Here is a 27,077-nt window from a genome sequence, read left to right as displayed (position 1 = left end):
TCAATATCCTCACCAGCATCTGGTGGTGTCAGTGTTCTGGATTTGGGCATTCTAATAGGTATGTAGTGGTATCTCATTTTAATTTGCATTTCTCTGATGATATATGATGTGGAACATTTTTAAATATGTTTATTTGCCATCTGTGTATCTTTGGTGAGGTGAGGGGTTTTGGTCCATTTTCTAGTCAGGTTGGTTTTTTTGCTTTTAAGTCAGTTTCGCTGTTGCCCAGACTGATGTGCAATGGTGCAATCTCCACTCACTGCAACCTCTGCCTCCCGGGTTCCAGCAATTCTTCTGCCTCAGCCTCCCAAGTAGCTGAGATTACAGGCATCATGCCTGGCTAATTTTTGTGTTTTTAGTAGAGACGTGGTTTCACCACGTTGGCCAGGCTGGTCTCCAACTCCTGACCTCAAGAGATCCGCCCGCCTTAGCCTCCCAAAGTGCTGGGATTGCAGGCGTGAGCCATCGCGCCCGGCCTCAGGTTGTATTCTTAATGTAGAGTTTTTGAAGTTATTTGTATATTTTATGTAACAGTCCTTTATCATTTAAGAAACATGATGGGTTTTTTGTGTTTGTGTGTTTTAAGACAGGCTCTCACTCCATCATCCAGGCTGGAGTGCAGTGACATGATCACAGATCATGGCTCAGTGCAGCCTCAACCTCTCAGGCTCAAGTGAGCCTCCTGCCTCAGCCTCTCAAGTAACTAGGATCACAAGATGTGCCACTACGCCCAGCTAATTTTTCTTTTAAATTTTTTTTGTAGGGATGGGGTCTCACCATGTTGCCTGGGCTGGTTTTGAACTCCTGGCTTCAAGTGATTCTTCTGCCTCCACCCCTCAAAGTACTGGGAATACAGGGGTGAGCCACCATGCCTGGCTATACTGGCTTTTTAAAAATTTATTTTTTTCTAGCTTGAGCAACAAAGTGAGACCCCCATCTCTTAAACAAAATTAGCTGGGCATGGTGGCGCATGCCTGTGATCCCGGCTACTTGGGAGTCTGAGGCAGGAGGAACACTTGAGTCCAGGACTTCGAGGGTGCAGTGAGCTGTTTGAACCACTGCACTCCAGGCTGGGCAACCGTGAGTCCTTATCTAAAAAAAAAAAATTATTAGGTGTGGTGGCTGATGCCTGTAATCCCAGCACTTTGGGAGGCCAAGGCAGGTGGATCACTTGAAGCCAGGAATTCGAGACCAGCCTGGCAAACATGGCGAAACAGCCCCCCCTCCCCTCCCCCAGAAAAAATACAGAAATTAGCTGGGCCTGGTGGCTCACACCTGTAGTCCCAGCTACTCGGGATGCTGAGGTGGGAGAATCACTTGAACCCAGGAGGCAGAGGTTGCAGTGAGCTGAGGTTGCACCACTGCACTCTGGCCGGGGCAACAGAGCAAGACTGTCTCAAAAGAAAAATTGCTTTTTTTCTGTATCTACTAAAATCATATGACTTTTCTCTTTTGTTAATGCATGTGAGTACTTTGGTTTTCAATAATGAACCAAGCTTAGGGTCCCTGGGATAACTCCAACTTGGTCATGATTTACATATTCACCTTTTTATATATTGCTGGATTGATTTGCTAATATTCTGTTGAGGATTTTTGTACCTATGTTCATACAGGGTAATAGTCTATAGTTTTGTTGTTTTGTAATGTCTTTGGTCCAGTTTTGACATCAGGGTTATTGCTAGCCTGATACAAACAAGTTAAGTTCTCGCTCCTATTTTCTGCAAATTTTTGTGAGGTTGAATTTATTTTGCCCCATAAATGTTTGACAGAATTTACCAGTATAATCATCTGAGCCAGGAGTCTGCTTTCAAGGATTACTTTTGATTTACAAATTCTGTTTCTTTAGTAGGACTTAAGATTTTACATTTCATCTTGTTTCTGTTTTTTTTTTTTTTTTTTGAGACGAAGTCTTGCTCTGTCGCCCAGGCTGGAGTGCAGTGGCACGATCTTGGCTCACTGCAACCTCCGCCTCCTGGGTTCAAGCGGTTCTCCTGCCTCAGCCTCTTGAGTAGCTGGGACTACAGGCGTGTGCCACTATGCCAGGCAGTATGTTGTATTTTTCAAAGATTTTTGTCTGTTGCATTTGTCAGGTTTATTGCCATAAAACTGTTCATAACATTCCCTTTTTCATGTCTGCAGAATCTGTAATATTATACCCGCTTTCATTCCTGATACTGGTAATTTGTCTTTTTCTTGATCAGTTTAGCTGGGGATTTTTTTTTTTTTTTCTTTTTCAGGAGAGAGGGTCTCATTCTATTGCCCAGGCTGGAGTGCAGTGGCACAATCATGGCTCACTGCAGCCTCAATCTCCAGGGTTCAAGCAATCCTCCCACTTCAACCTCCCAAGTAGCTGGGACCACAGGTATGTGACACCGTGCCCTGCTAACTTATTCTGTATTTTTTAAATTATTTTGGAGAGACGTAGGTCTCACTATGTTACCCAGGCTGGTCTTGAACTCCTGGGCTCAAGCAATACTCCCCCTCCCTAAGTGCTGGGATTACAGGCATGAGCTACCCACCGCACTCAGCTCTTTGTAGGGATTTATCATAAATTTTTTTTCCATAGAATTTGGGGCTTCTCAAATTTTTCTTTAATACTTGTTTGTTTGTTCCTTCTACTTACTTTGGGTTTATTTTTCTCTGCTTTTTCTAGCTTAAGGTGGAAACCTGTTATCACTGATTTTCTCCTTTCTTCTGATAGAAGCATTTACAATTCTAAGTTTCCCTCTAAGCACTGCTTTTGGCTGAATCCTATACGTTTTGTTTTCATTATCATTTAGTTCAAAGTATTTTTTTCTTTTTTTCCCTTGATTTATGAGTTGCTGTGTGTGTGTAAGAGACAAGGTCTCCCTCTGTTGTTCAGGCTGGAGTGCAGTGGTGCCATCATAGCTCACTGCAGCCTCAAACTCCTGGGCTCAAGCAATCCTGCTCCCTCAGCCTCCTGACTTGCTGGGACTACAGGCGTGCGCCACCACACCTGGCTAATTTTCGTATTTTTAATAGAGATAGGGTTTCACCATGTTAGCCAGGGTGGTCTCAAACTCCTGGCCTCAAGTGATCTGCCTGCCTTGGCCTCCCAAAGTGCTGGGACTGCAGGCATGAGCCACAATTTCTTTACTCACTCATCAGTTGATGGGCACTTGGGCTGGTTCCATATTTTTGCAATTGCAAACTGTGCTGCTATAAACAAGCATGTGCAAGTATCTTTTTCATATAATGATTTATTTTCCTCTGGGTAAGATATCCAGGGGTGGTATTGCTGAATCAGGTGGTAGAACTACTTTTAGTTAAGGAATCTCCACAGTTTTCCATAGTGGTTATACTAGTTTACTTTCCCACCAACAGTGTAAAAGTGTTTCCTTTTCACCACATCCATGCCAACATCTATATTTTGATTTTTTGACTATGGCCATTCTTGTGGCAGTAAGGTGGTATCACATTGTGGTTATGATTTGCATTTCCCTGATCTTTAGCAATGTTGAGCATTTTTTCACATTTCTTGGCCATTTGTATATCTTTTGAGAATTGTCTGTTCATGTCCTTAGCCCACTTTTTGATGGGATTTTTTTTTTTTTTTTTTGCTGATCTGAGTTCCTTGTAGATTCTGGATATTAGTCCTTCATCAGGTGTATAGATTGCAGAAATTTTCTCCTACTCTGCGGGTTGTCTGTTTAGTCTGCTGATTATTTATTTTGTTGTGCAGAAGCTTTTTAGTTTAATTAAGTCCCATTTATTTATCTTTGTTTTCGTTTCGTTTGCTTTTGGGTTCTTTAGTCATGAAGTCTTTGCCTAGGCCAATGTTGAGAAGGATTTTTTTCAATGTTATCTTCTAGAATTTTATGGTTTCAGGTCTTAGATTTAAGTGTTTGATCCATCTTGAGTTGATTTTTGTATAAGATGAGAGATGAGGATCCAGTTTCATTCTTCTATTTGTGGCTTGCCAATTAACCCAGCACCATCTGTTGAATAGGGTGTCCTTTCCCCACTTTTTTGTTTGCTTGCCGAAGATCAGTTGACTGTAAGTATTTGGTTTTATTTATGGGTTCTCTATTCTGTTCCATTGGTCTATATGCCTGATTTTATACCAGTACCACACTCTTCTGGTGACTATGGCCTTGTAGTATAGTTCGAAGTCAGATAATGTGATGCCTCCAGATTTGTTCTTTTTACTTAGTCTCACTTTGGCTTTGCAGATTTGTTCTTTTTACTTAGTCTTGCTTTGGCTATGCGGGCCCTTTTTTGGTTTCATATGAATTTTAGGATTGTTTTTTCTAATTCTGTGAAGAATGATTTTGGTATTTTGATGGGAATTGCACTGAACCTCTAGATTGCTTTTGGCAGTATGGTCATTTTCACAATATCGATTCTACCCATACATGAGCATGGGATGTATTTCCATTTGTTTGCGTCATCTATGATTTCTTTCAGTGATGTTTTGTAGTTTTCCTTGTAGAGGTCTTTTACTTCCTTGGTTCAGTATATTCCTAAGTTGTTTTTTTGTTTGTTTTTTGTTTTTTTGCAGCTATTGTAAAAGGGGTTGGGTTCTTGATTTCTCAGCTTGGTTGCTGTTGGCATATAGCAGGGCTACTGATTTATGTACTTTACTTTACTTTTGTATCCTGAAACTTTGCTGAATTGATTTACCAGTTCTAGGAGCTTTTTGGATGAGTCTTTAAGGTTTTCTAGGTATACGATCATGTCATCAGCAAACAGCGACAGTTTTACTTCTTCTTTACTGATCTGGATGCCCTTTCTTTCTCTTGTCTGATTGCTCTGGCTAGGACCATGTTCAGCTTTTCACAAACTATTTAGGATTAATTTTGTGTCCCACTACATAAAATATTAAAACCTTGCAACCATATATGCTTTATAGTTGTCATGTTATTTATGTATGTTCAGCCTCACATACACTGTGATATTTTTTCTTTGAACAATCATATGTATTTTTTTAAAGTTAAACCGAGAGAGTATTTTATATTTACCACTTGTTTACATTTGTTATTTATGGAAGGATTGGTCCGACATGAACTACTAAGCCATTATCAGACAATAATGAGTTTTCCTTGAAAACAAAAATCATTGTAGTGACACACTCCAAAGTGGTTTACTGTCTTTGGAATGCACAGTTTTGCCCAATATTATTCAGCAAGAAGGATACTTTTTTCTCATTGCTAGTTCATACTTCTACTTTCCTGCCTCTCTCTTTCAGTTTTCTAAAACCACATCCGTAGCTGTGATTATGTTCTTGGTTTCATTTTCCTAATTCTGTTACAAATTCTGATGACATGAGCAACCAACCCCCATACTAGAAGTTAGAATAGCTCCTATCTCACCAGAGTAAAAGAAAAATTGCAAATTCACATGCCCAAAAGACTGACCCTGCACACCCTAGTAGAGTTTATTTTTAAAAGAAAATCTAAGTCAAATTAATGTGGAAAGCATTGCTTCTTTACTGCTATCCCTGGAAGCAAAGCACCATCTTGCCCCCAAATGTGGAAAAACTCAAAAACTCTACTCTTGCATTCTCTGTTTCCACCATGCTATACTTAAAAAAGACTACCTTTTTACCCTTCTCTCCCCAAATATTAGAAGTTTCTCATATCAGAGTAATGAATACAGTTCTGTCCTCTGAAAACCTCTTCCCTCTACATCAAAGCTTTCTGAAATAAAAGTAGTCCAATATCTACTCATTCAGTCTTCAAGTCCTTAAGTTTCTGTTGCCACCACTGCTTCATCAAAGATACATCACTGCTTGATGATTGATGGTTAAGAGCAAGAGCTCTGCATCCAGACCTGGATTAAAATCCTGGTCCTGCCACTTACCTTTGAAAATTTGTTTTGTCTCTCCTAACCTAAGCTTTCTCTTCTATAAAATGGGGATAACAGTACCTCTCTGTTGGAAGTGTTCAATGAGGCTGACCATTCTCTTCCCAAACCTTTCTTCGTTGGCTTCCCATAATACCACTCTCCTGGGTTTTTTCTTGTATCATATGCTTTTTTGTGGGCTCTTCTGCTTCTCCCTCTAAATACTTATTTTCTTTCATTTGGTTGCCTGTCGTCTTATTCCTAGCTTTCCGTGGATGACTCCTTTCAAAACTATGGTTTTGATGATTCCTCAAATCTAAATTACTCCTGAATCTTAAAAAATTTTTTTTTGAGATGGGGTCTTGCTTTGTTTCCCAGGCTGGAGTGCAGTGGCATGATCATAGCTTACTGCCACCTCAAATTCCTAGGCTCAAGTGATCCTCTTGCCTCAGTCTCCCAAATAGCTGAAACTATAGGTGCGCACAACTGCGCCTGGCTTTTTAATTTTTTGTAGACATGAGGTCTGAGCCATCTTGCCCAGGCCAGTCTCCAACTCCTGGGTTCAAGTGATCCTCTGGCTTTGGCCTCCCAAAGTGCTGGGATTACACGTGTGAGCCACCGTATCTGGCCTACTCCTGAATCTTTATCTTCAAACCAGGTTTCATTCCTGAAATCTAGCTATTCAGGTATCTGATGGATATCATCATTAGATATCTTAAACATCTAAAACTAGATTCCACAACCAACCCTCAACCCTAGTCCAATATTCCTTTACTCTCCCTGGTTATCTAAGCCCTGAAATGGGTACCCAATTATTAACCTGCCACATCCAATCAATCCCCAATTCCTGTTGATATTAGCTCCTAAATCTCTCTTCCTCTTTTTTCACTAAGACTTTTCCAGTTTCAGAAAGTAACTAGACCATTTCATTCTAATATACTAGACTCCATGCTGAAGTAGAAGTGTTCTCAATTGTTCAGGGTACAAATCCACGTTTGCCACATACCACCAGCTGAATGACAAAGGCATCACTTCTGATACTTTTTGAGATACAAGAAATGAAGGGGGTCCTGCTCAGTTAGCTGCTTCTTCAATGTCAAAACAGACCCTGTAATAAAATAAGGAACTCCAACCGGTTTGGTAGTAGGTCAGTTTTCTATCTATCATCTATCTAATCTATCTATCTTTAAATTATGGTGATTAAAGGGCACTTTCAGTGCAAAATGGGGACTGGCCCTCAGTAAGCAAATTGCTGGCTTATCATGCATCAGGGTTGCTGCAGAGGCCATGCCTGTACCAAGCAGGAACTTGGCCTTGAGGTTCCTCCTCCAATTTCAAAATAGGCTTAGACACAGGTAAGGGAAGACCGTGATCATAGGTTCTTTTAGGTTTTTATTATGATCTCTTGTTTTTATACCTGAATAACAATTTTCCCCAAAGGAATGATGATATGTAATCTTTATTCTAAAAAGGACACATAGTGTATTGATAGCATCTGGTCAGTGGTTATCACTGACTATCTTCAATAACAATTACTCATCTAAGAAACTCTTCCTTTTTTCTTTAAAATCGTTGGTGCTGATCCAGACAAGCCCTGGGCTGCTGCTCCTCATCCTGATAGGATCTAGCTTCTAGACTGACCCCTCTCAAGAACAAAATACAGGGAGGGACTTGTTCTGGATTCCCTTTGGGCAAATGCAGCTGCAATACTCAGCAGGCTTGGCCTCAACTTCCAGGGCTTTTGTTTTTTTTCTTTTAAATGTATACTATTAAAGTTGGATTATTAATCTAATATTTGTGTTTGCCTTGGGGACTAATAAACCTCACAACCTGAGGATCACCTCAGTTAAACCAAGGCTTTGTCATCACAGAGCTACTCAGCAGAGGTCTGTCTCAGCTGTTCCTTGAACTAAGGAAGGAGTCAGTCAGCTAGGAGAGAAAAGTCCTTTTGAAAGCAGACAGCATCATGTACCTTGCTGACTCAGCTACATACATAAGGCCTCAAGCCTTGCTGCCAGTTCTTAAAGGAACTGTGTTCTCTTTTCACTTTTCCTGGCTTATGGGGCAGTAGAGGGTTTCCGACCTCAAATGCCAATACCAGGTAGGTAGAAGGACCTTAGGCTCAACTGCTGGCTCCTCGTAATAACACACACTGTATTCTGTGGTGGGTGCCACTCTGCTCTGCCTGTGTCATGTCACCTTTCCTAATCCAGCACATCCTCGCCCAAGAAAACCCTATTTTGGGGTCATTCATTCTATTCTTATTTCTCTCTTATTTGTTCTGATGTTTCAGTTGGACTTGATTCCACCGCAGGCTCTGGCTCCAGAGGAAGAGATGGGGGCTTTGTGAACTGGGATGTTCCTCCAGCACCTAGTAACAAAATAAAAACTTGAATCCTCATGTTCCACAATTTCAGAAGAAATCATTCTTTTTTGCTGTTAGAGTTCAAGAGGAAACCCCATATTTTCTGGAACCAGTGGGACTGACCCATTAACTATAAGGGAAGACTATAACTGAGAAATAAAGCAACAGTCAAGTTTGCCTTCAATGAGTCACTGAAAAATATTTACGTGTCAACTTCTGATAAAGCAGTAAAAATTAAACATTGCATAACAGGATATACTTAATAACATATTGCTAAAATTGGAAAGACCAGTGTATAGACCATCCAACTAAGTCTGTGAGTAGCTGTTACCTACTACATAGCTCGCCTTAAGGAAACAAGTGCCAATTTAGCCACCCTGTGTTTTTTTTCTCCCCTTGTGGCCAATACTACGTTGGACATATGAGTCTGAAGAGAACCTCACTGAAAGCTATAATCTCTGCTGACAGACACATGTGGCTTGTACCTGCCAGGTCTTCATGGAGCTCTGTATGGTCCTACCTGAGGGGAGCGTCCTGTATGCAGCTGCTGAAGACATTGCCTGTCCTAGAGCTTGATTAGAGCCCAGAGGCTGCTGGAAACTGGCAGGTTTGCTGGTTGAAGTGGTCTGGTGCTTTGATTTGGGATCTTTAACTGGTTTGGTCCAGACCAGTGCCTCCCCAACCTGGAGAGCAGCTCCCAACTTCTGAGCCATCTCCACCATCTTGTGTCCACAAAGGAAGTAAAAGAATCAAAAGCGTGACTGTCAGAGACAAGCCAACCCACTTCTTTGGTCTTCGAGCTGGGGTTTTAGCTGAAATAGTGTCTGGTCGTACTAGCAGTTGAGGCAGGAAGTACTTATCAAACAGTAGAGATTACAGATTGCCTTTACTGGATGGCATGGTGGTTCACATAGGATCTCAAAACCCAACAATTCAAGCCTGGTGCATTACCGGGCCAAACAGTGCATTTCCTACAACAAGTGAAATAGGGCTGGGCACGTGGATCACGAGGTCAAGAGATCAAGACCATCCTGGCCAACATGGTGAAACCCCGTCTCTACTAAAAATACAAAAATTAGCTGGGCGTGGTGGCACGCGCCTGTAGTCCCAGCTACTTGGAAGGCTGAGGCAGGAGAATTGCTTGAACCCAGGAGGCGGAGGTTGCAGTGAACTGAGATTGCGCCATTGCACTCCAGCCTGGGCAACAGAGCGAGATTCCGTCTCAAAAAAAAAAAAAAAAAAAAAGTGAAATAGAAGGAAGCTACAGACAGACACAGACCTCAACTTTGATGAGTTGAATTAGCAATAACAACTCAGTAAGCCTGAATTTCCTTTTATTATTATTCTAGGAAAGTTTTTCTCAGGCTGTTATTAATTGATGAACTCATGCTGCTAGGAACATCAAAGCCAGAACAGCCATGAACGTGTAATACCTTGGATTTGGATGATCTGGGCTTGATTTTTAAAAGTCTCCTGAGAGCTTACTTATGACTCTTGGGAGCTAATAAAAGACATACCTCAGAGTCAAATTCCAGAGAGCTATTGTCCTTGAGTAGGCTGACTTTCTTCTCCATCTCCTGATATTGGGCCAGGGCGTTCTTCTTCTCGCCCTGGTTGTACAGCAGCACAGCATAGTTCAGGTTTACTAAAGGGTTACACCTGTGGCAGACAGAGATTCTATGGAGCTGGGGGCTCTGCAACAAATGGTCATTTAGAGATCCTTCTCATTACACAAAAACAAAACAAAACTGGTTAAGTAGAGATTTCTCCATTATGCAGCAAGGTAGGTACATACGTGCTAAGCAGACCTGTGGAGAAGAATCAAGGAGTTAATGGCCTAACAAGCAAAGCTGGTATTGGGACCAAATCTGGCATCTCAGCCCTCAACAGAGACTACCTAGGCCAGGGTTGAAAAAGGGATCTCTACCCTGCTGTCTAGAAGATGCCAGCGGAGTAAATCCTGGAAGAGTCAAGTTTTATCTTGAATTAAACAGCCCAGAGTCCCATCTGATATTCCAGCTAGCCCATAGCTATCAGCAACCCAAGCCCACTGCCAGTTCTGACATTCTCTAGCCTCCTGATTACTCAGTTTAGGACTGGAAACATTTTCTCAGAGTGTCAATTCCTGCTGAGCCACCACATACTTAGGAGACACATCCCTCCACACTGAGGTCTGCTATGTACTAATGCCATAGAGGAACAGCTGGGCTGACACAGGCAGCACCAATGCTATGTATGGCACCACCTCATGGCTTTGGAGAGTCCAACCCCCGCCAGTACCATTCTCAACAAAGTGCATACTTATCCAGGTGGACTGCTTCTGCGTAGGCTCTCTTGGCATTTTCTATATCTTCCAGATTGGTCAGAGCCACTGCAACAAAGAAAGCACTGCAGCTGGAGAGCTCAGCTTAGAAGACAAAAGGAGTATTAAAGACTACCCCCAAAGTAAACTTCACCCTGTCAGCTCATGGCACCAGAGTTTACTAAGTCAGCTTAGATACCTGGTGCTATCTTCAACCATCTCTTCTACAGTCAATCAGTTGCCAGGTTCTATGCATCCTTTTTTTGCAGTTTCTTTTCTGACACTGCCCTTGTTCAGGCCCAAGTAGTTTTAGGCTTTCCATTTATTCCCCAGTGTCAAAGTCCCCACCTGCCTCCATTCCACCTTCCACAGCGCTGCCAGGTATCTCACTGCCTTACAAATCTGACCACATTACCATCCTACTTAGGAATCCTCACTGGCCCCCCACATCTATAACCATGATCTTTACACTTTCATTTAGCAGTAAAACACTCCCCCCACTTTTTAAAATCAGTATTTCCTTGACACCTAATATATAAAACAAAAACAGCTGCTCTGGAAGCCCTGCCCATTCCACCTCCCCACCAGCTATGCACTCACTCCTACCAGGCACCTAAGAGGAGATCTAGGAAGACAGCTGGACAAACATGGCCTCTAAGATAAAGTCCTTGCACTGTACGCATGACCTCCATAATCTGACCCCAGAATATCTTTCCTGATTCATCTCCCATCATATTCTCTAACACTAACCCCCACTAACAGCAAGGGACACTGCAGTTTCATGGCTGCATGCCTTTCTTCACAGTGGCTCCTCAGCCATTCTGTGCTATTCCATTTTAGCTTGTTGTTCAGGATCCAGTTTGAATGCCATCTCTACTTTGTAAAGTTAGCATCGCTGTTATCTCTTACATTATGGCTGTTTACATTTCTGTGTTCCATTAGAACCCAGCTATCTAAAGAAACTATCAACACAGTAAACAGACAATGTACAAAATGGGAGAAAATATTTGCAAACCATGCAGGTCTAATATCCAGGATCTATAAGGAACTTAAGCAAATTTACAAGAAGAATACAATCCCATTAAAATGGGCAAAGGACATAAACAGACACTTCAAAAGAAGTCATGTATGCAGCCAACAAGCATATGAAAAACTCTATCACTGATTAGAGAAATGCAAATTGAAACCACAGTGAGATAACCATCTCACACCAGTCAAAATGGCTATTATTAAAAACTCAAAATATAACATCCTGGTGAGGCTGCAGAGAAAAGGGAATGCTTATACACTGTTGATGGGAGTGTAAATTAGTTCAACCATTGTGGAAAGCAATCTGGCAATTCCCCAAAGAGCTAAAAATACAACTACCCTTCGACCCAGCAATCCCATTACTGGGTATATGCCCAAAGGAATGTAAATCGTTCTGCCATAAAGACACATGCATGTGTGTGTTCAATGCAGCACTATTCACAATAGCAAAGATGTGAAATCAACCTAAATGCCCATCAATGGTAGACTGGATAAACAAAATGTAAATGTACACCATGGAATACGACACAGCCATACAAAAGAACAAGATCGTGTCCTTTGCAGCAACATAGATGGAGCTGGAGGCCACCATCCTTAGCAAATTAATAAAGGATAGAAAACCAAATCCTGCATGTTCTCACTATAAGAGCTAAATGATGAGAACACATGGAGACACAGAGGGAAACAGACACTGGAGCTTACTGGAGGAGGGGGAGGGCCAGAAAAAAATAACTATTGGGTACTAGGCTTAGTACCTGGGTGATGAAATAATCTGTACAACTAATCCCCATGACACACGTGCCTGTGTAACAGGATGCACATGTACCCCTGAACCTAAAATAAAATTTTTAAAAAAAGAGAGAGGAATGGAGTCTCACTGTGTTGCCCAGGCTGTACTCCCAACTCCTGGGCTTAAGCAAACTTCCTGCCTTAGCCTCCCAAGTAGCCAGCACTACAGGTATGTACCATCACACCCCACTTTAGCCTTTTTATTCTGATGTTTTGACATCTGGGGCCTTACTGACCCTGGGGAGACTGTCCCTCCCACAGTCAGCTAATTCCTAGATATAACCCCTACAAGAGTACCTTCTGTATGCAGACCGACCAACCCAGTGTTCATATTCTTAACTGCCTCCTTTACTGGGCCCTGACACTGGGCCAATATTCCCTAGTCCTAGTCACCCGAGGGTCAGGTACCAGACACCTAGAGACAGCCCTATAGCCCAGAGCCCACTGAAATTATTCAAACTGGCCAATCCCCAACCTGGTTAACCTGCTTTCCCGGTCTTGCCCCGGGGAGGGCATTTCTACCCATGAAAACTACAATAAAGAATTGTGCCCACATTTACCCCTTGCTCCCTCTACCTCCTGATTGACCTGGTGCTTCCCCATGTGGCCCTGCACGGTGTAGCATGCCCTCCTTCTCAGGAATTGTAACAGACTATCTTTCCAGTGGCAGATGTCTTCTGATCTGTTGCCCATACCATATCTGAATAATAATAAAACCTATGTTTTTTTTTTAAAGTTATCTTTGTATTCAGGCAACCCTCAAATAACCACAATTGCTTTTGCAAGCTTTCTCTTTTAAATAAGAACCCACAGTAATGAACAAAAAGCCACTGGAAGACGACTGCCAAATGAGGACATGGAAATCTGCTTTGGGTCTTACATTTAGTAAGTAAATGTATATGGAGAAAAAAATTCCTAGAAAGACTAGTCAGTACTTTAAAATGGTTGTGCATAATTGTTAAAGTGTTTGATTAATTTTAACTTATTTTTATGATCAATTTTAGTATTTGCATGGCATAAAATGGAGTTTCAGGAAGAGAATGGCATTCTATATAACATGCTCAGAAGAGATAAGGGTTTCAACATAAGGTAGCTTGACTTGGAAGTATCACCTAGGGGCCAATTATAGTAACAACAATATTGATAATAATAGACCAATTATATAACCACAGTAAAACCAACAGTTTTCAAAAATCAGTATTTCAACAAAACCAGTATTATTAATTGAGAGCTTAATCATGCAATCCTCACATCAGCCCTAGGTACATATAATAAGTAGTAGAGGCAGGACCCTACCTAAAACCCAAGCTCTTAACACTTGCTGTCTGGAACTTAGTTGGACTCAATATATACATAAATGAATTGTCAAGGCAAGAGGAAAAAACTGGTAAAAGGTGAACTAGGGATGATCTTTATTTAACCTGTTGGTCTCTGAGTCAAACTCCCCCAAGTTAGAAACAACCAAGTTCCTTTGTCATCTTTTTCTATTTCTTCAAGCTCCAGGACAGTAATCCAGATTCCTACAGGATCTCTAAGGGAATGGCTCCTATGAGACAGCCACTGATCTTCTATGATTCTAATCCATTTTTCCCTCATTACAGATGGCAGAGAGAGTTTTCCACATAAATGTTTCTTACCTGCCAAGAGCATGTAGAGCTCCCCCATCTTTGGCTGGAAGTTGATGGCCGCACTGAGAAAATGAAAAGCTGATGCATACTGCTGCATGGTCAAATGGACAAGGCCCAAATTATACAGAATCTTCCAATCAAAGGGTGCCAAGTAGTTGGCTCGTTTCAGGCAGCTGATGGCCTATGAGAGAGAAGGGGCACTCAATGAGAAGGGCAAGCTAAACAGACCCAATAACCACATGTAGAAATACAAACAAAGAACATGAGGGGACACTCACCGCCACATATTTCTTCTTGCCAAAGAAACACATTCCAATGTTATTCCAGAGTGGAGGACTTTCTGGAACAGCACAAGCCACAACTCTGTATTTGGTGAGGGCAACATCAAAGTCCCCGTGGGTCTGCATCATGCTGCCTGCTGCCAAGATGGCCTGAAAACATGGCACAGAGAAAGTCATTCAGTCATTCCCAAAAGGCTGTAGCAGTGGGGCAGCTTTCCTGAGTCTATACTCAGCAGGCCCATCAGCATAGATGGGACTGGAAAATTTCTTCCAGGGACATAAATATATCCAACCTATTGGGACAAATGTTCCTGAGGAATGTCCTTGCACTCTACACTGTGGCTCTCTGGCACAGCACAAAAAAAAAAAAAAAAAAAAAAAAAAAAAAAGATAAAATGTTACTTGCTTTACCCATCTGTTTCCTACTTCTAGCCAGGAAAGTCAGTATTTCAGAATGAATACCAGAGCCCTTTAAGTAAAAACTTCCTTTAATCTGTTCTCTGCAGCCCCTATTTGGTATACCAAGTGTTCTAGATACCTGAAATACACCTGTACGTGGCTACTTAAGGTAAATTTCTTTCTACCGTAGAACAGAGGGCGAGTCAGCTTTAGGCTTCATCAGCCCAGCCCTTTCATTTCTCTAAGGAAAGGTATCAAGGTGGGAGCTGACAGTCTAATGTTACTTCCTAAATCAGAATTCAGTTTGTATCCTTTAATAAACAGCTTGTCTTGCTGCATCTCCTCAATGATGTTCATCCATTTGATGCTATTCCTTCTCATTCCCAAAGTCACATCTAGAAAAAAAGTTGTAGTATCAAATCATTAGGACTCTAGAAGTCATTTCAACATAATTATTGTTTCTTTTTAGAGACAGGGTCTCTGTCACCCAGGCTGGAGTATAGTGGTGCCATCATAGCCCACTGTAGACTCAAACTCCTGGGCTCAAGTGATCTTCCCTCTTCCACCTTCCGAGTGGCTAGGACTACAGGTGTGTGCCACCATGCCTGGATAATTTTTTTTGTAGAAATGGGGGTCTCACTATGTGGCCCAGCCTGGTCTTGAACTCCTGGCCTCAAGTGATCCTCCTGCCTCAGCATTCCAAAGTGCTGGGATTACAGGCATAAGCCACCATGCCCAGCAGATTTATTTTTTTTATTTTTTATTTTTTTTTTTTTTGAGACAGAGTCTCGCTCTGTCACCCAGGCTGGAGTGCAGTGGCGCGTGATCTCAGCTCACTGCAAGCTCTGCCTCCCGGGTTCACGCCATTCTCCTGCCTCAGCCTCCCGAGGAGCTGGGACTACAGGCGCCCGCCACCACGCCCGGCTAATTTTTTTGTATTTTTAGTAGAGACGGGGTTTCACTGTGTTAGCCAGGATGGTCTCGATCTCCTGACCTCGTGATCTGCCCACCTCAGCCTCCCAAAGTGCTGGGATTACAGGCGTGAGCCACCGCGCCGGGCCGCAGATTTATTTTTGACAATAGTTGTGGAGGCATTGCTAATTTCCTAAGTAACACATAAGCTTTACTAGCACTATGATCTGCCTTCTGCAGGGGTTACACGTCTATTATAACAAATGTGCACTTTTAGAAGATAAGTAGAGCATACTTGACACTATTTTCAAATAAGAAGAGCCACCTTTTATTTATATTTTTTCTATTTCTCAGGTATCCAAATTTAAGAAGCTATTCCTTTGCTTTCCAGGGTCAGATCACCTCTAGGAGCAGTGGGACCGTCTATATGAAGGCCAGAGCCTTCACAGCCTGTAATACCTTGTAGTTGGTAGGGTCATAAGTCAGTGCATTGCCAAGATGTTCAAATGCCTTCTGGTAAATGCCGAGCTTGGAAAAAAAGCAAACAAGACAATTTACATCAGCAAGGAGACGGCAGTTAAAAGAGTCTGGCCAGACCAGGCGTGGTGGCTAATGCCTATAATCCCAGCACTTTGGGAGGCTAAGGTGGGTGGATCACCTGAGGTCAGGAGTTCGAGACCAGCCTGACCAACATGGAGAAACCCCATCTCTACTAAAAATACAAAATTACCCAGGCATGGTGGCACATGCCTGTAATCCCAGCTACTTGGGAGGCTGAGGCAGGAGAATCGCTTGAACCCAGGAGGCAGAGGTTGCAGTGAGCCGAGATCACGCCATTGCACTCTAGCCTAGGCAAAAAGAGTGAAACTCCGTCTCCAAAAAAAAAAAAAAAAAAACAGTCTGGCCAACCTCACCCAGAACAGAAATGCTCTGGCTTTTTTGAGTTCTCTTGACTTTAAAAAAAAAAAAAAAAAAAAAAAAAGCAGCTACAGTTACCAGATAATAAAGAAAGAAAACTAAAAATCCCCAGTCATGGTTTTCCTTCTATTTTTGTTAATTTGTCACCTGATAAGGTCAAAGTATCTATTTGATAAGAACCATCTCTGCCACACTAGTACTGTTCCACATTAATGCCTCTTTGCAGGAAATGAGCTGGGTATCCTCATCTCCCGTGGAGCCAACCTCCCAAGCCAAAGCCCAGGAAGACCCAGGGTTAAGCTCCTGATTCCTTTTAAAGAAAAATGAAATAGACATAAAGGCCACCACAGAGGCAGGGCTGGAGGCAGAATCAGCTGACCAAGGAACTTGGCAAATGTGTATATTGGGGAAGAGGGAAAAGCCCCTTGGATACCTGGGCCCTGGGTCCTCAGCCAGAGAATCAATGGAGCTAAAAGAATCCCATTCACATTCAGGAATGTTGAGGGGACAGAAAACTTCTTATTCTAGATAAAAGTATACTTTGCCTTCTCTCTTTCCAATAAGACTCTGGCTGGGAAGAAAGATCAAAAGAAATGGCTTTGCCCCAAAGCCCTAAGTGCTCACTTGTATCTGTTTCTCTCCTCACAACAAAATAACAGCCTCCAAGACCAGAGTTATTTCTCATATATGCTCTTTCCTGGATAGCATAAGAATTTTTTTTTTTTTCTGAGACAGGATCTGGCTCTGTCACCCAGGATGGAGTGCAGTGACTCAATCTCAGCTCACTGCAACCTCTGCCTTCCGAGTTCAAGCAATCTTCCCATCACAGCCTCCCAAGTAGCTGGGACTACAGAAGCATGCCACCATGCCTGGCTAATTTTTTTATTTTTTGTAGAGACAGGGTCTCACTATGTTACCCAGGCTGGTCTCCAACTCCTGAGCTCAAGTGATCCACCAGCCTCAGCCTCCCAAATTGCTGGGATTACAGGCATGAGACCACACCCAGCCTAGATAAGAATTATAATTGCACTAGGCTAAAATAGAATTGCTTCCAATTTAAATGCAGAAAATTAATTCCTTTAGCAAAGAGTATCGAATAGAGAGAGTGTAGTTCATGAACTTTATATGACCTTTAATAAAATAAATATCAGAATGCAGGAAAACCACCATACACACAAACCCAAAACCATTTCTAACATCAGTGCATGAATGAGTACAGAGTTTTCATTACCTGTAAGTAGAGTAATCCTAAAGTTGTAAGAAGCTCTGTATTTTCTGGTGAGAACCTGCAACATAGAGATGCTCAGAGGGAAACAAGATGTAGATGAGAAACACGAAGACACATGCACAGTAATATGCCCTCGTGCAATACTTGACAGACCCCACTGAGCCTCTTCCTCCCCGTGGAAATACCTGAAGGCAATTTGGGAATTGCCATCAAAAGTAGGTCATCTCAACCCTGGTGATAAGGAGAACTGCTCAGCAAGAAAAATGAGGCTTAGAATTCAGATTCCTTTCTTAGGGTAAAAGTCCTAAGAAAGAACCTATAGAATGTTTTGCATGACTGTCTTGGTCACACTGATAAAATTAAAGAACAATGCTTTATAAACCAAGTCAGCCTAGAACACACACAGTTTCACCAGTCCTCTCTTGTGGAATTTTTTTTCTATCCTCATTGTGCTCACAATGCCAGGCAGCATAATTTTCTATGTAATTTAGGATCCCAAGGCCCCTAATGCTGTTCTCTCCACTTAAACAAAGAGCTATACCAAGTAGCCAAACTAAACAAAAGAAGGAAGATACATACCAATCCTAGGAAAGAAGGTGCTACTGACCTTTGGGAGTAAACACTGATGTAAGTAAAATACTCACATCAGGGATTGCCTGCTCAATCCCTCACTAGTATTTGTCTTTGTCACAAAACCAAGGCAACACTGAGTTGAGATGATCTGACCATAGGATCATCAGACAGTTTCAACAGTAAAACACCAAAGGGCTATGAACAATGTCTTCTGCTTCTAAGGAATGATATAGGGCACTGGTTACCTATAGGAAGACCTGAACCAGAAGATGCAAAGCCCCAGCCAGGGGAGGCCTGAGCTGACCAAACAGAGCTTTCTCAATTCAACTGGGAATCCGCCTTTCACTTTCTGCCATAATAAACATCCACTTTGATCACTTCCCTCCCCAAAGCCAGGTAACTTCTGTAATTCTAGCAATATTGGCTTCCCCACTACAACATGACTACTCTCTTCAAAGCTGTAGGTCATGAACAATGGTCTCTATCTTCTCAGTAAGGCTTCAGATTTTAGCTGTCCACATTTCTCCCTTAGGAAATTTAGTGACCAAAGTCCTTGATCAGTTACTGGAAGAATGTTCCCCTTGGGATTTATGTATGCTATTCTCAAAGAGCTAACCTCTAGAAGGCAGGGGTCAGGGATCAGGGCTACTACCTAGCACCACAGAGGCACTGAACATGTTACATGGCTCCTTACTACTTGCCCAAATATACAGCCTCTTGATGACAAAAGTCTGTTCTGTAGCTTAACAAACCAAGGGATTTTTCTGTTTTAGACACAAAATATGGTTGAAGAAAATTCAGAAAGCAGTGCTGTGACTGATATAACCAGAAAATTTACTACCATGGTAGAAGACAAAGATGATTAACAAATTAATAGAAATCTAAGTTTAGTTCAGAATCTAATTATTAGGAATAATAAGCCTTGAACCACAGACCAGACATTCTATTAAGGGACCAAACAAATGAGACAAGGCATTTTGCTACAGCTATCCCATTTAAAAGTAACAACACAAGGCTGGGCGCAGTGGTTCACGCCTGCAATCCCAGCACTATGGGAGACCAAGGCAAGCAGATCACTTGAGGCCAGGAATTCGAGACCAGCCTGACCAACATGGTGAAACCCTGTCTCTGCTAAAAATACAAACATTAGCCAGGGGTGGTGGCGTGCTCGTGCAGTCCCAGCTACTCAGGAGGCTGAGGCATGAGAATCGCTTGAACCCAGGAGGCAGAGGTTGCAGTGAGGCGAGATCGCGCCACTGCACTCACCCCTGGGCGACAGAGCGAGACTGTTGAAATAAATGAAAGGAAGGAAAGAAAGGAAGGAAGAAAGGAAGAAAAGAAAGAAACAAAGAAAGATGGGAATGGGAGGGAGGGAAAGGATGGAAAGAAAAGAGAGAAAAAGGAAGGAAGGGAGAGAGGGAGGGGAAAGGGGAAGGGAGATGGGAAAAGGGGAAAGGGGGAAGGGAAAGGAGGAAGGGGAAAGGGGGAAGGGGAAAGGGGGAAGGGGGATGGGGAAAGGGGGATGGGGAAAGGGGGATGGGGAAAGGGGGATGGGGAAAGGGGGATGGGGAAAGGGGGATGGGGAAAGGGGGATGGGGAAAGGGGGATGGGGGAAGGGGGATGGGGGAAGAGGGAAGGAGGAAGGGGAAGAGGAAGGGGGAAGGGGGAAGGGGGAAAGGGAAAGGGGGAAGAGAAAAGGGGGAAGGGAAAACGGGGAAAGGGAAGGGGAAAACGGGGAAGGGGAAGGGAAAATGGGGAAGGGGGAAAAAAGATACTGGTCTCATGCTAATAAGGCCAAATGTTTTGTTTTGTTTTGTTTTGTTTTTTACTGAATCAGGAGATTTCTGTCCCTAATAATATCTCTGAAAACAGAAGATCTGTTATTAACATATGATACCAAAATGGCAGACTGTCGGCCAACTCTTAAATCTGTTATTTCCTTCTTCTTGAGTGCATGTCTGCCCACTTCCCTTGTAACTATCATGTAGTTTTGAACCATGGAATGTAAGCAGGAACGATGTGTGCAATTTCTGGGTCATTTAAAACTTATTACCAAGGCCAGGTGCAGTGGCTCACACCTGTAATTCCAGCACTTTGGAAGGCTGAGGCAGGAGGATCGCTTGAGCCCAGAAGTTTAAGACCAGCCTGGGCAACACAGCAAGACCCTGTCAACACAAAAACAGTTTTTTTTTTTAAATTAGCTGGGCATGGTGGCACATGCCTGTAGTCCCAACTACTTGGGAGGCTGAGGTAGGAAGATTGCTTTAGCCCAAGAGGTTGAGGCTGCAGTGAGCTGTGTTCTCCACTGCACTCCAGCCTGAGTGATGGAGTAAGATCATGTCTCTCTCTCTCTCTCTCTCTCTCTCTATATATATATATATATATAGCCAGATGCTTATTCCATGCTTAGCTTCCCAAACCATCTCCTTCCACCACAGCCTGGATGTGGATGTTACATTCAGCATCAACCATGCAGGTAAAGACAACAGCCTAAGGAATGGTGAGTTAATAAGGAAGAAACCTGGATCCCTGGCTGACCTTGTAGAATAGAGCTGCCCAGCTAACCTAAAGCAGCAGTCATCCTTATAGGTAAGAAAGAAACACAGTCTACCTTATTGAAGCTACTGGGAGCTCTTAAACTTCAGCTTAACCTTTAACTCATACAGTAAGTAATTAATCAAACATATTCACTCTTTTAGGCTTGGGAGTTCACATATCCACTCAATTTTTTTAGTTTCTCACTGTTTTAAAGGAAACAGATACACTTACTCCACTGCTTTCTTGTAGACTTCAATGGCCTTGTCCAAGTCTCCCTCCAGCAAGTGGATCTTCCCCAGCATTATATAAGTCAGATCGTGCCTATTAAGATTCAGGGCATTGTGCAACTGGTCTTGTGCCTGACAAGTTTAACAAAATAAAGAAAACCAAATCACTACCACTGAACGAACTATACCTTTATATGGCTAATGTAAAGACACTTTCTGCTGTATTGACATAGGAACATCACATTTCAGCAAACAGCCCCCACTACCCAAAGACCAAAACATACCAAAACTGTCCTTGTTGAAAAGACAGCTGGCAACATGGGATATCTGCTTCTGGAGCCACTTGGAAGAATTTATACAAGACGATTAATCTTTCTGAATGTTTTCTGCCTGATATTCACACCTATGACTCATACTTCATAAGTCAAAAGGGCCATCATAGTACAGTGTAGAGTACTACACTAAACTAAATCCCAGCTGTAACACTGACCAAGTGCACAACCTTCCCTATGGTGGGCCAGGTTTCCCCATCAATGTGATGATAAATGAATAAATAGATTGTTCTCATTTATTCACCCAACTGCTTGCTGTTCTAGATGCTAAATATATTTGAGTTTATAAAACCAACTCCTTGCTCTGGAGGAGCTTACCTTCTCCTAGTAAACAAAAGGGCTTTGTTTAGTCATTCACAGATTCAACAAGCATTTATATAAATGCCAGGTATTGTATTTGCCTAGCCTGTTAGCTGTACAGTAAAATCTAAATATATTTCTTCTCAGCACAGATCCAACCAAAGACAAATCCTTCTTTTCCCCTGACTCAGAATAATCCTGTGAATAGAAATGTGCCTGTTTGAAATTGTCTCTGAAGAGAAAAATCTCCTAACCAAGTATATAAAACTATAGATCCATCTACAAAACCTAAGGGGCCCACTAAATGTATTTTATGTATATATATTGTTATCTCAGGAGAAAAGTTACTTTTACACCCCAACTGCTAATGTGCATATTTTTTTTCACACCAGTGTGGGATACTAGTTACACCAGTCTGCAAATTGACACAAACTAAACATTGTCAAATGGGTACTAACCAATTCAGATTCTCAGTCCTGGTGGCATCGGAGAAAGGAGAATAAAACTTCACAATCACTAACTGTGAGCTCTATGAAGGAAACTACCCAACGCTCTCATCACTAAGTTTTAGAGCTCTCAGTAATTTTGTCTACTCCTCAATTATGATATATACTTTTTCTTACCTGAGTACCAAATTTGAGGTAAGCTCAACTTGTCTTCTCTGATATAGGAGTCTATAGCTTAATCACAGTGAAATATAATTTCTCATCATGGAAAATAACTATAAAATTAAAACTGAAAACTCAGAAATCAGATCCACTTAAAATTTAAAATTTATTTTCAATGACCCTAAAAACTAAGTTGCCGTCAGGGCATGGAGATAGCTCACATGGTCATGATCACACCTTTAAGACTTAAGGGTCCACTTTTTGATATGTATGTTTTATTAAGCATCTGTTTCTAAACTGGGAAATTTAACTGGAGGTAGAGAAAAAGAAGAAAGGAGAAAAACTGCCATTCCCTCATATTTCTAGAACTTTCCATGTTCTTATTACAAGCAGAAAACAACAGATGAATAATGACAAGTGAGAATTAAAACAGAAAAAAATGTATAAAGGTACTTTCAATTTTCAGTTCCAAAAACCTCTGCAAGCACTAGGGATAATACCAAATGAGCAATGTAACAACTTCTGCAACAAGTGCACCCTCAGTGAAATCTATCACCACTTCTATAAATTACCTTGTTGAACTGCTTCAGGTATATGTAGCAAACTCCTAGGTTATGGCTGATCTCCTAGGCTCATAAAAAAGAAGGAAAACAACTCAGGTGTAATTCCACAGTAAGTATTAGAGTGAAACAACAGACATCTAGAGATTGTTATTGCTCGGCAAGGTTTAAACTTTAAACTATGCATTACAGTCAGCTTTTTATTAGAGTTCATACTCAAATTAATTGTTAAAAATAAGTTCCTCAACATAAAAAAATACAGATTATAAGAAATAAAAGCAGAATAAACAGGTGATCTTCCTGGATCTATGGGGAACCCTGGGGCACATACCCAGCCCATCCCCATACCTTTTTTCTTTAAGAGTTGCCCATCACCCATACCCTTTGCTCCTTCTTCTCAGGAGAGACTACCCACAGCCCCTGCTGAGAGGGCTGCTAGCCACACATTTCCGCCCTTAAGGCAACACAGTTGGATAGTGACACCTGACACAACTGAAGTCCTTTCCCTAGGAATCTGGAATTGGAAGAGAGCTAGTTAGTTACAAGTACTAAATTTACTAGGTGATGTGAACTTGAGGACTGACAGCGCCACCTGGAGTCTGCTGTGATGGAATACATGTAATTGGAGCCATCTGCAGAAGTCTAGAGCTGACATGGGAAAACTATGGTCCATGGGCCAAATCCATTCCCTGCCCTTTTTTATAAGTACAGATTCATTGGAACACAGACACAACTATTGTTTTTGTATGGCTCTTTTGCATTAGAACTGCAGAGTTAAGTCGTTGCAACAGAGTCTGTATGAAGCTATACAAATTAAAATATTTATTAACTGGCCCTTTACAAAAAAAGTTTGCCAACCTTTGATCTACAGAAAGAAAAGATGAAGCAGAAAAGGCAGAGTAGCTACCTTGGATGCTGAAGCGTTCCAGTTCTGCTTCACTAAAAGACCAACCTGCATCTCTTGATACTGTTTTATGGACTCTCAAATTCCTTTATAATAAACCTCCCTTTATTTAAGGTAGCTTTGGAAAAGGAGAAAGCAAGGGTAAGGAAAATGCTCTTGGGAAACATAGTAAGAACTACCCTATTAGTAGTGGAGATGTGTCCCTGTCTGAGGAAACATGGACCCCCAGGCTCAGAGATAACAACTGATTTAATGTTTTCCAAGTCTCCAAAAATAGTAAAAACAACAAAACAGCAACCATTGGTTGAGCACCTACTAACATCAGGCTTTATGCCAGATGTTTTCATATATGTTACTTTAATTTTCAGCAAACCTGCAACATAGTTATAATCTTTCCAATTTTACAGATAAGGAAATTGAAGCTCAGAGAGGTTGAGTAGATTACCTAACTTAAGACAGAGAGTATTGGGATTTTTTTTTTCTTTTTTAGTTCTACATCCTAGGGAGAATTTCAATCATACGTAAGTGCAGACAGAATTAGGTACTAATCATCCTGTCCCAACAACCATCCAATCCACACCCCATCTACTCCCACAACTTTTGTAAGCAAATAACAGCCCAACGTTTTATCCACAAATGTTTCCGTATTTATTTCTAAAAGATAAGGCCTTTTTCTTAAACTACCCACATCGTCACACTCGAAAAAAAGTAGTGACTGCTTGATATTAGATATTCAATTACGTTAAAATTTCCAATTATCTCACAAATGCCGCACATTTAAAAATTTTTTTTATTCAATCACAAATCATGTCCATATTATAGAACATTGGGATTTGAACTCAGGCCTGCTTCCAAAACTTGTATACTGCCAACTTTGTCATGCTATAAGAATGCATGCATGGAGAGAGACAAGGCAGAAATAAAGCCTTTCTTGTCCTTTAAATGTCCTGCTCTACAGTAGGAATTGTTAAGGTAGGTAAGTAAATAGATGTCCTGAAGGCTAACCTCTGACCTTTTAAAATCTTTGACATAGATAGTTGAGAAGGCAGCAATATACCTTTAACAAACTAACTGCAAAAGAAATTTGGAAAGGGCAACAGAACAAATCAGAGTCAAATCCTATCTTTCAGGAGGTAAGGGAACCCAGCAGACATCCTGCAAAGGCAGTTGGTACAGTGGAAAAGATCACAGTCTTAAGACGAGGAATCTTAGATCATCCTAGATCACAGGTCTGAATTCCAGTTCTGGCTCAGCAACTACCTCACTGTAGCAACTTCCATCTTCCAAAGCCTTAGCTTCCTCACTTGTCAATGGGGGAAATTCTCCCTACTTAACAGAACTGTTCCAAAAGTCAACTAAGATAATGGCAGGAGGAATTACTATTCCCCTGTTGCAGCAAGACTGTGGAATACCCTGATGAGTCCAAGAAAGTAGGGCTACAAGGTTGTTTCTTTTTTTTTTTTTTTTTTGAGACAGGGTCTTGCTCTGCTTTCCATGCTGAAGTGCAGTGACACAATCACAGTTCACCGCATCACTGCAGCCTCAACCTCCTGGGCTAACGTGATCCTCCTACCTCAGCCTCTAGAATAGCTAGGACTACAGGTGCACACGACCACTAATTTTTATTTTTTTTTCCTAGAAACTGGGTCTCTATGTTGCCCAGGCTGGTCTCAGACTCCTGGGCTCAAGTGATCCTCCCCACTCAGCATCCTTTTAAAGTGCTGGTATTACAGGTATGAGCCACCATGCTCCAGCTACTATAAGGTTTTCTACAGGTACTTATGAAATATGTAGGGTAGGTAAGGGCTATTAATAAAAGTAAAATTCAAAATCATTAAAATATTCTAAAAAGAAAATAAAAATGCCATGAAGGGGAAAATTTTAAAGAAAAATTTTAAAGTTAAAAAAAAAAAAGGTGGTGGCTCACACCTGTAGTCTCAGCACTTTGGGAGGCCAAGGTGGGCGGATCACAACGTCAGGAGCTCGAGACCAGCCTGACCAACATGGTGAAACCTCATCTCTACTAAAAATACAAAAATTAGCTGGGCATGGTGGCGGGTGCCTGTAAATCCCAGCTACTCAGGAGGCTGGGGGAGGAGAATCGCTTGAACCCAGGAGGCAGAGGTTGCAGTGAGCCAAGATTGAGCCACTGCACTCTAGCCTAGGTGACAGAATGAGACTCTGTCTCAACAAAAAAAAAAAAAAAGAATGGCTGTTTTGTGAATGATCACATCTACTAGTAACAATGGGATGGTTATCCCAAGTGAGTCAGTAATACCAAATGAGCTCTTTCAACCAACTGGATAGATTAAGAAATACGTTCCATTCCCCCTGTGACCCTGAGCTCTCCTGCTTTACCTCTTCCCTATCTCCCTCTATGGGTTCTCTTCTTCTGCTCAGTCCTTCAAAATTGCTTTTTGATGGCTCACACCTGTAATCCCAGCACTCTGGGAAGCTAAAGCAGGAGGATCACTTGAGGACAGGAGCTTGAGACCAGCCTGGGTAACATGAGACCTCATTTCCACAAAATAAATTTAGCCAGGCATGGTGGCTTGCACCTGTAGCCCCAGCTACTCAGGAGGCAGAGGCAGGAGGATCACTTGAGCCCAGGAGTTGGAGGTTACAGTAAGCTATGATCACCCCACTATACTCCAGCCTAGGCAACCTTGTCTCTTAAAAAAAAAAAAAAAAATTTAGAAAGTAAAAAACTGCTAGCATCCAGGGATGTTCCAGGGATTATTGGTGGGCCCTGGCTCCTCCCTGGCCTGTATGGTGACCATTTGTGGCACTGGCCACCCCCATGATCCTGGCCCCCATAGAGAATGCAGGGCTTCCTCCCTGCATTAAAGCAGTAACTTTTCCTGTGCCGTCTCAAACAGACAAAAAAAAAGTAAAAAACTCTTTTTTTCCAGGGTCCCATCCTCAGCTCATTGCAGGGTAATGTCAACCAATCTAATGGTTTCAATTACCACCTTTATGTTGCTGACTCCAGAATTCACATCTCTACTCCAAAACACTTGAGTTTCAGATTTCTATATCCAATCCTACTGGACACATCTCAATTTAGATATCCCCTCAGAACCTAAAACTTATCATATCCAAAATCCTCTGAAAGACAGGATTTAACTCTGATTTCTTACCATCACCTTCTTCCAAACCTTGCTCTTCTTCCTTCATTTCCTATTCTAGTTGAGTATCTTATAATCCAACAGTCCATCTTTGCATCTCCAGGGCATAGATCAGTGCTTGGCATATAGCAGACATACTCATTTTTTGAAAAACCGACTGAATGAAAAGTACATGAATTTTTCTTCATCTGTAGTTTCACTCTGGCTGTTAGCTATAACATACTCCATGGCATAAAGACTCAACTCAATCT

The 27,077-nt window shown here is 41.8% G+C and overlaps 1 protein-coding gene across 11 annotated transcripts in view; it reads right to left on the bottom strand.

Moving 5' to 3' along the window:
- The window catches only part of BBS4 (Bardet-Biedl syndrome 4), a 52,267-nt gene continuing 32,370 nt past the window's right edge, over positions 7,181–27,077 (bottom strand). For 6 of the 11 annotated variants that reach the window (NR_045566.2, NR_045565.2, XM_047432911.1 and 3 more), the window contains 10 exons: positions 22,807–22,860; positions 20,999–21,126; positions 17,660–17,714; positions 15,970–16,038; positions 14,197–14,349; positions 13,928–14,099; positions 10,472–10,541; positions 9,688–9,829; positions 8,691–8,892; positions 7,181–8,176 (listed from right to left, as the gene is read on the bottom strand). Coding sequence is in view for 9 of the 11 variants with exons in the window: in XM_047432911.1 (XP_047288867.1) it covers positions 8,067–8,176; positions 8,691–8,892; positions 9,688–9,829; positions 10,472–10,541; positions 13,928–14,099; positions 14,197–14,349; positions 15,970–16,038; positions 17,660–17,714; positions 20,999–21,126; positions 22,807–22,860 (1,155 nt within the window). In the remaining 2 variants the exon portion in view is untranslated. Of the gene's footprint in view, positions 8,177–8,690; positions 8,893–9,687; positions 9,830–10,471; positions 10,542–13,927; positions 14,100–14,196; positions 14,350–15,969; positions 16,039–17,659; positions 17,715–20,998; positions 21,127–22,806; positions 22,866–27,077 lie in introns of those variants that run through there. The other 5 variants (NM_001252678.2, XM_017022454.2, XM_017022450.2 and 2 more) reach the window with 3 other exon arrangements.

The sequence above is a fragment of the Homo sapiens genome, chromosome 15, assembly GCF_000001405.40.
Source record: "Homo sapiens chromosome 15, GRCh38.p14 Primary Assembly".
Taxonomy (NCBI): Eukaryota; Metazoa; Chordata; class Mammalia; order Primates; family Hominidae; genus Homo; species Homo sapiens.
This window is presented reverse-complemented; position numbering and strand designations above follow the sequence as displayed.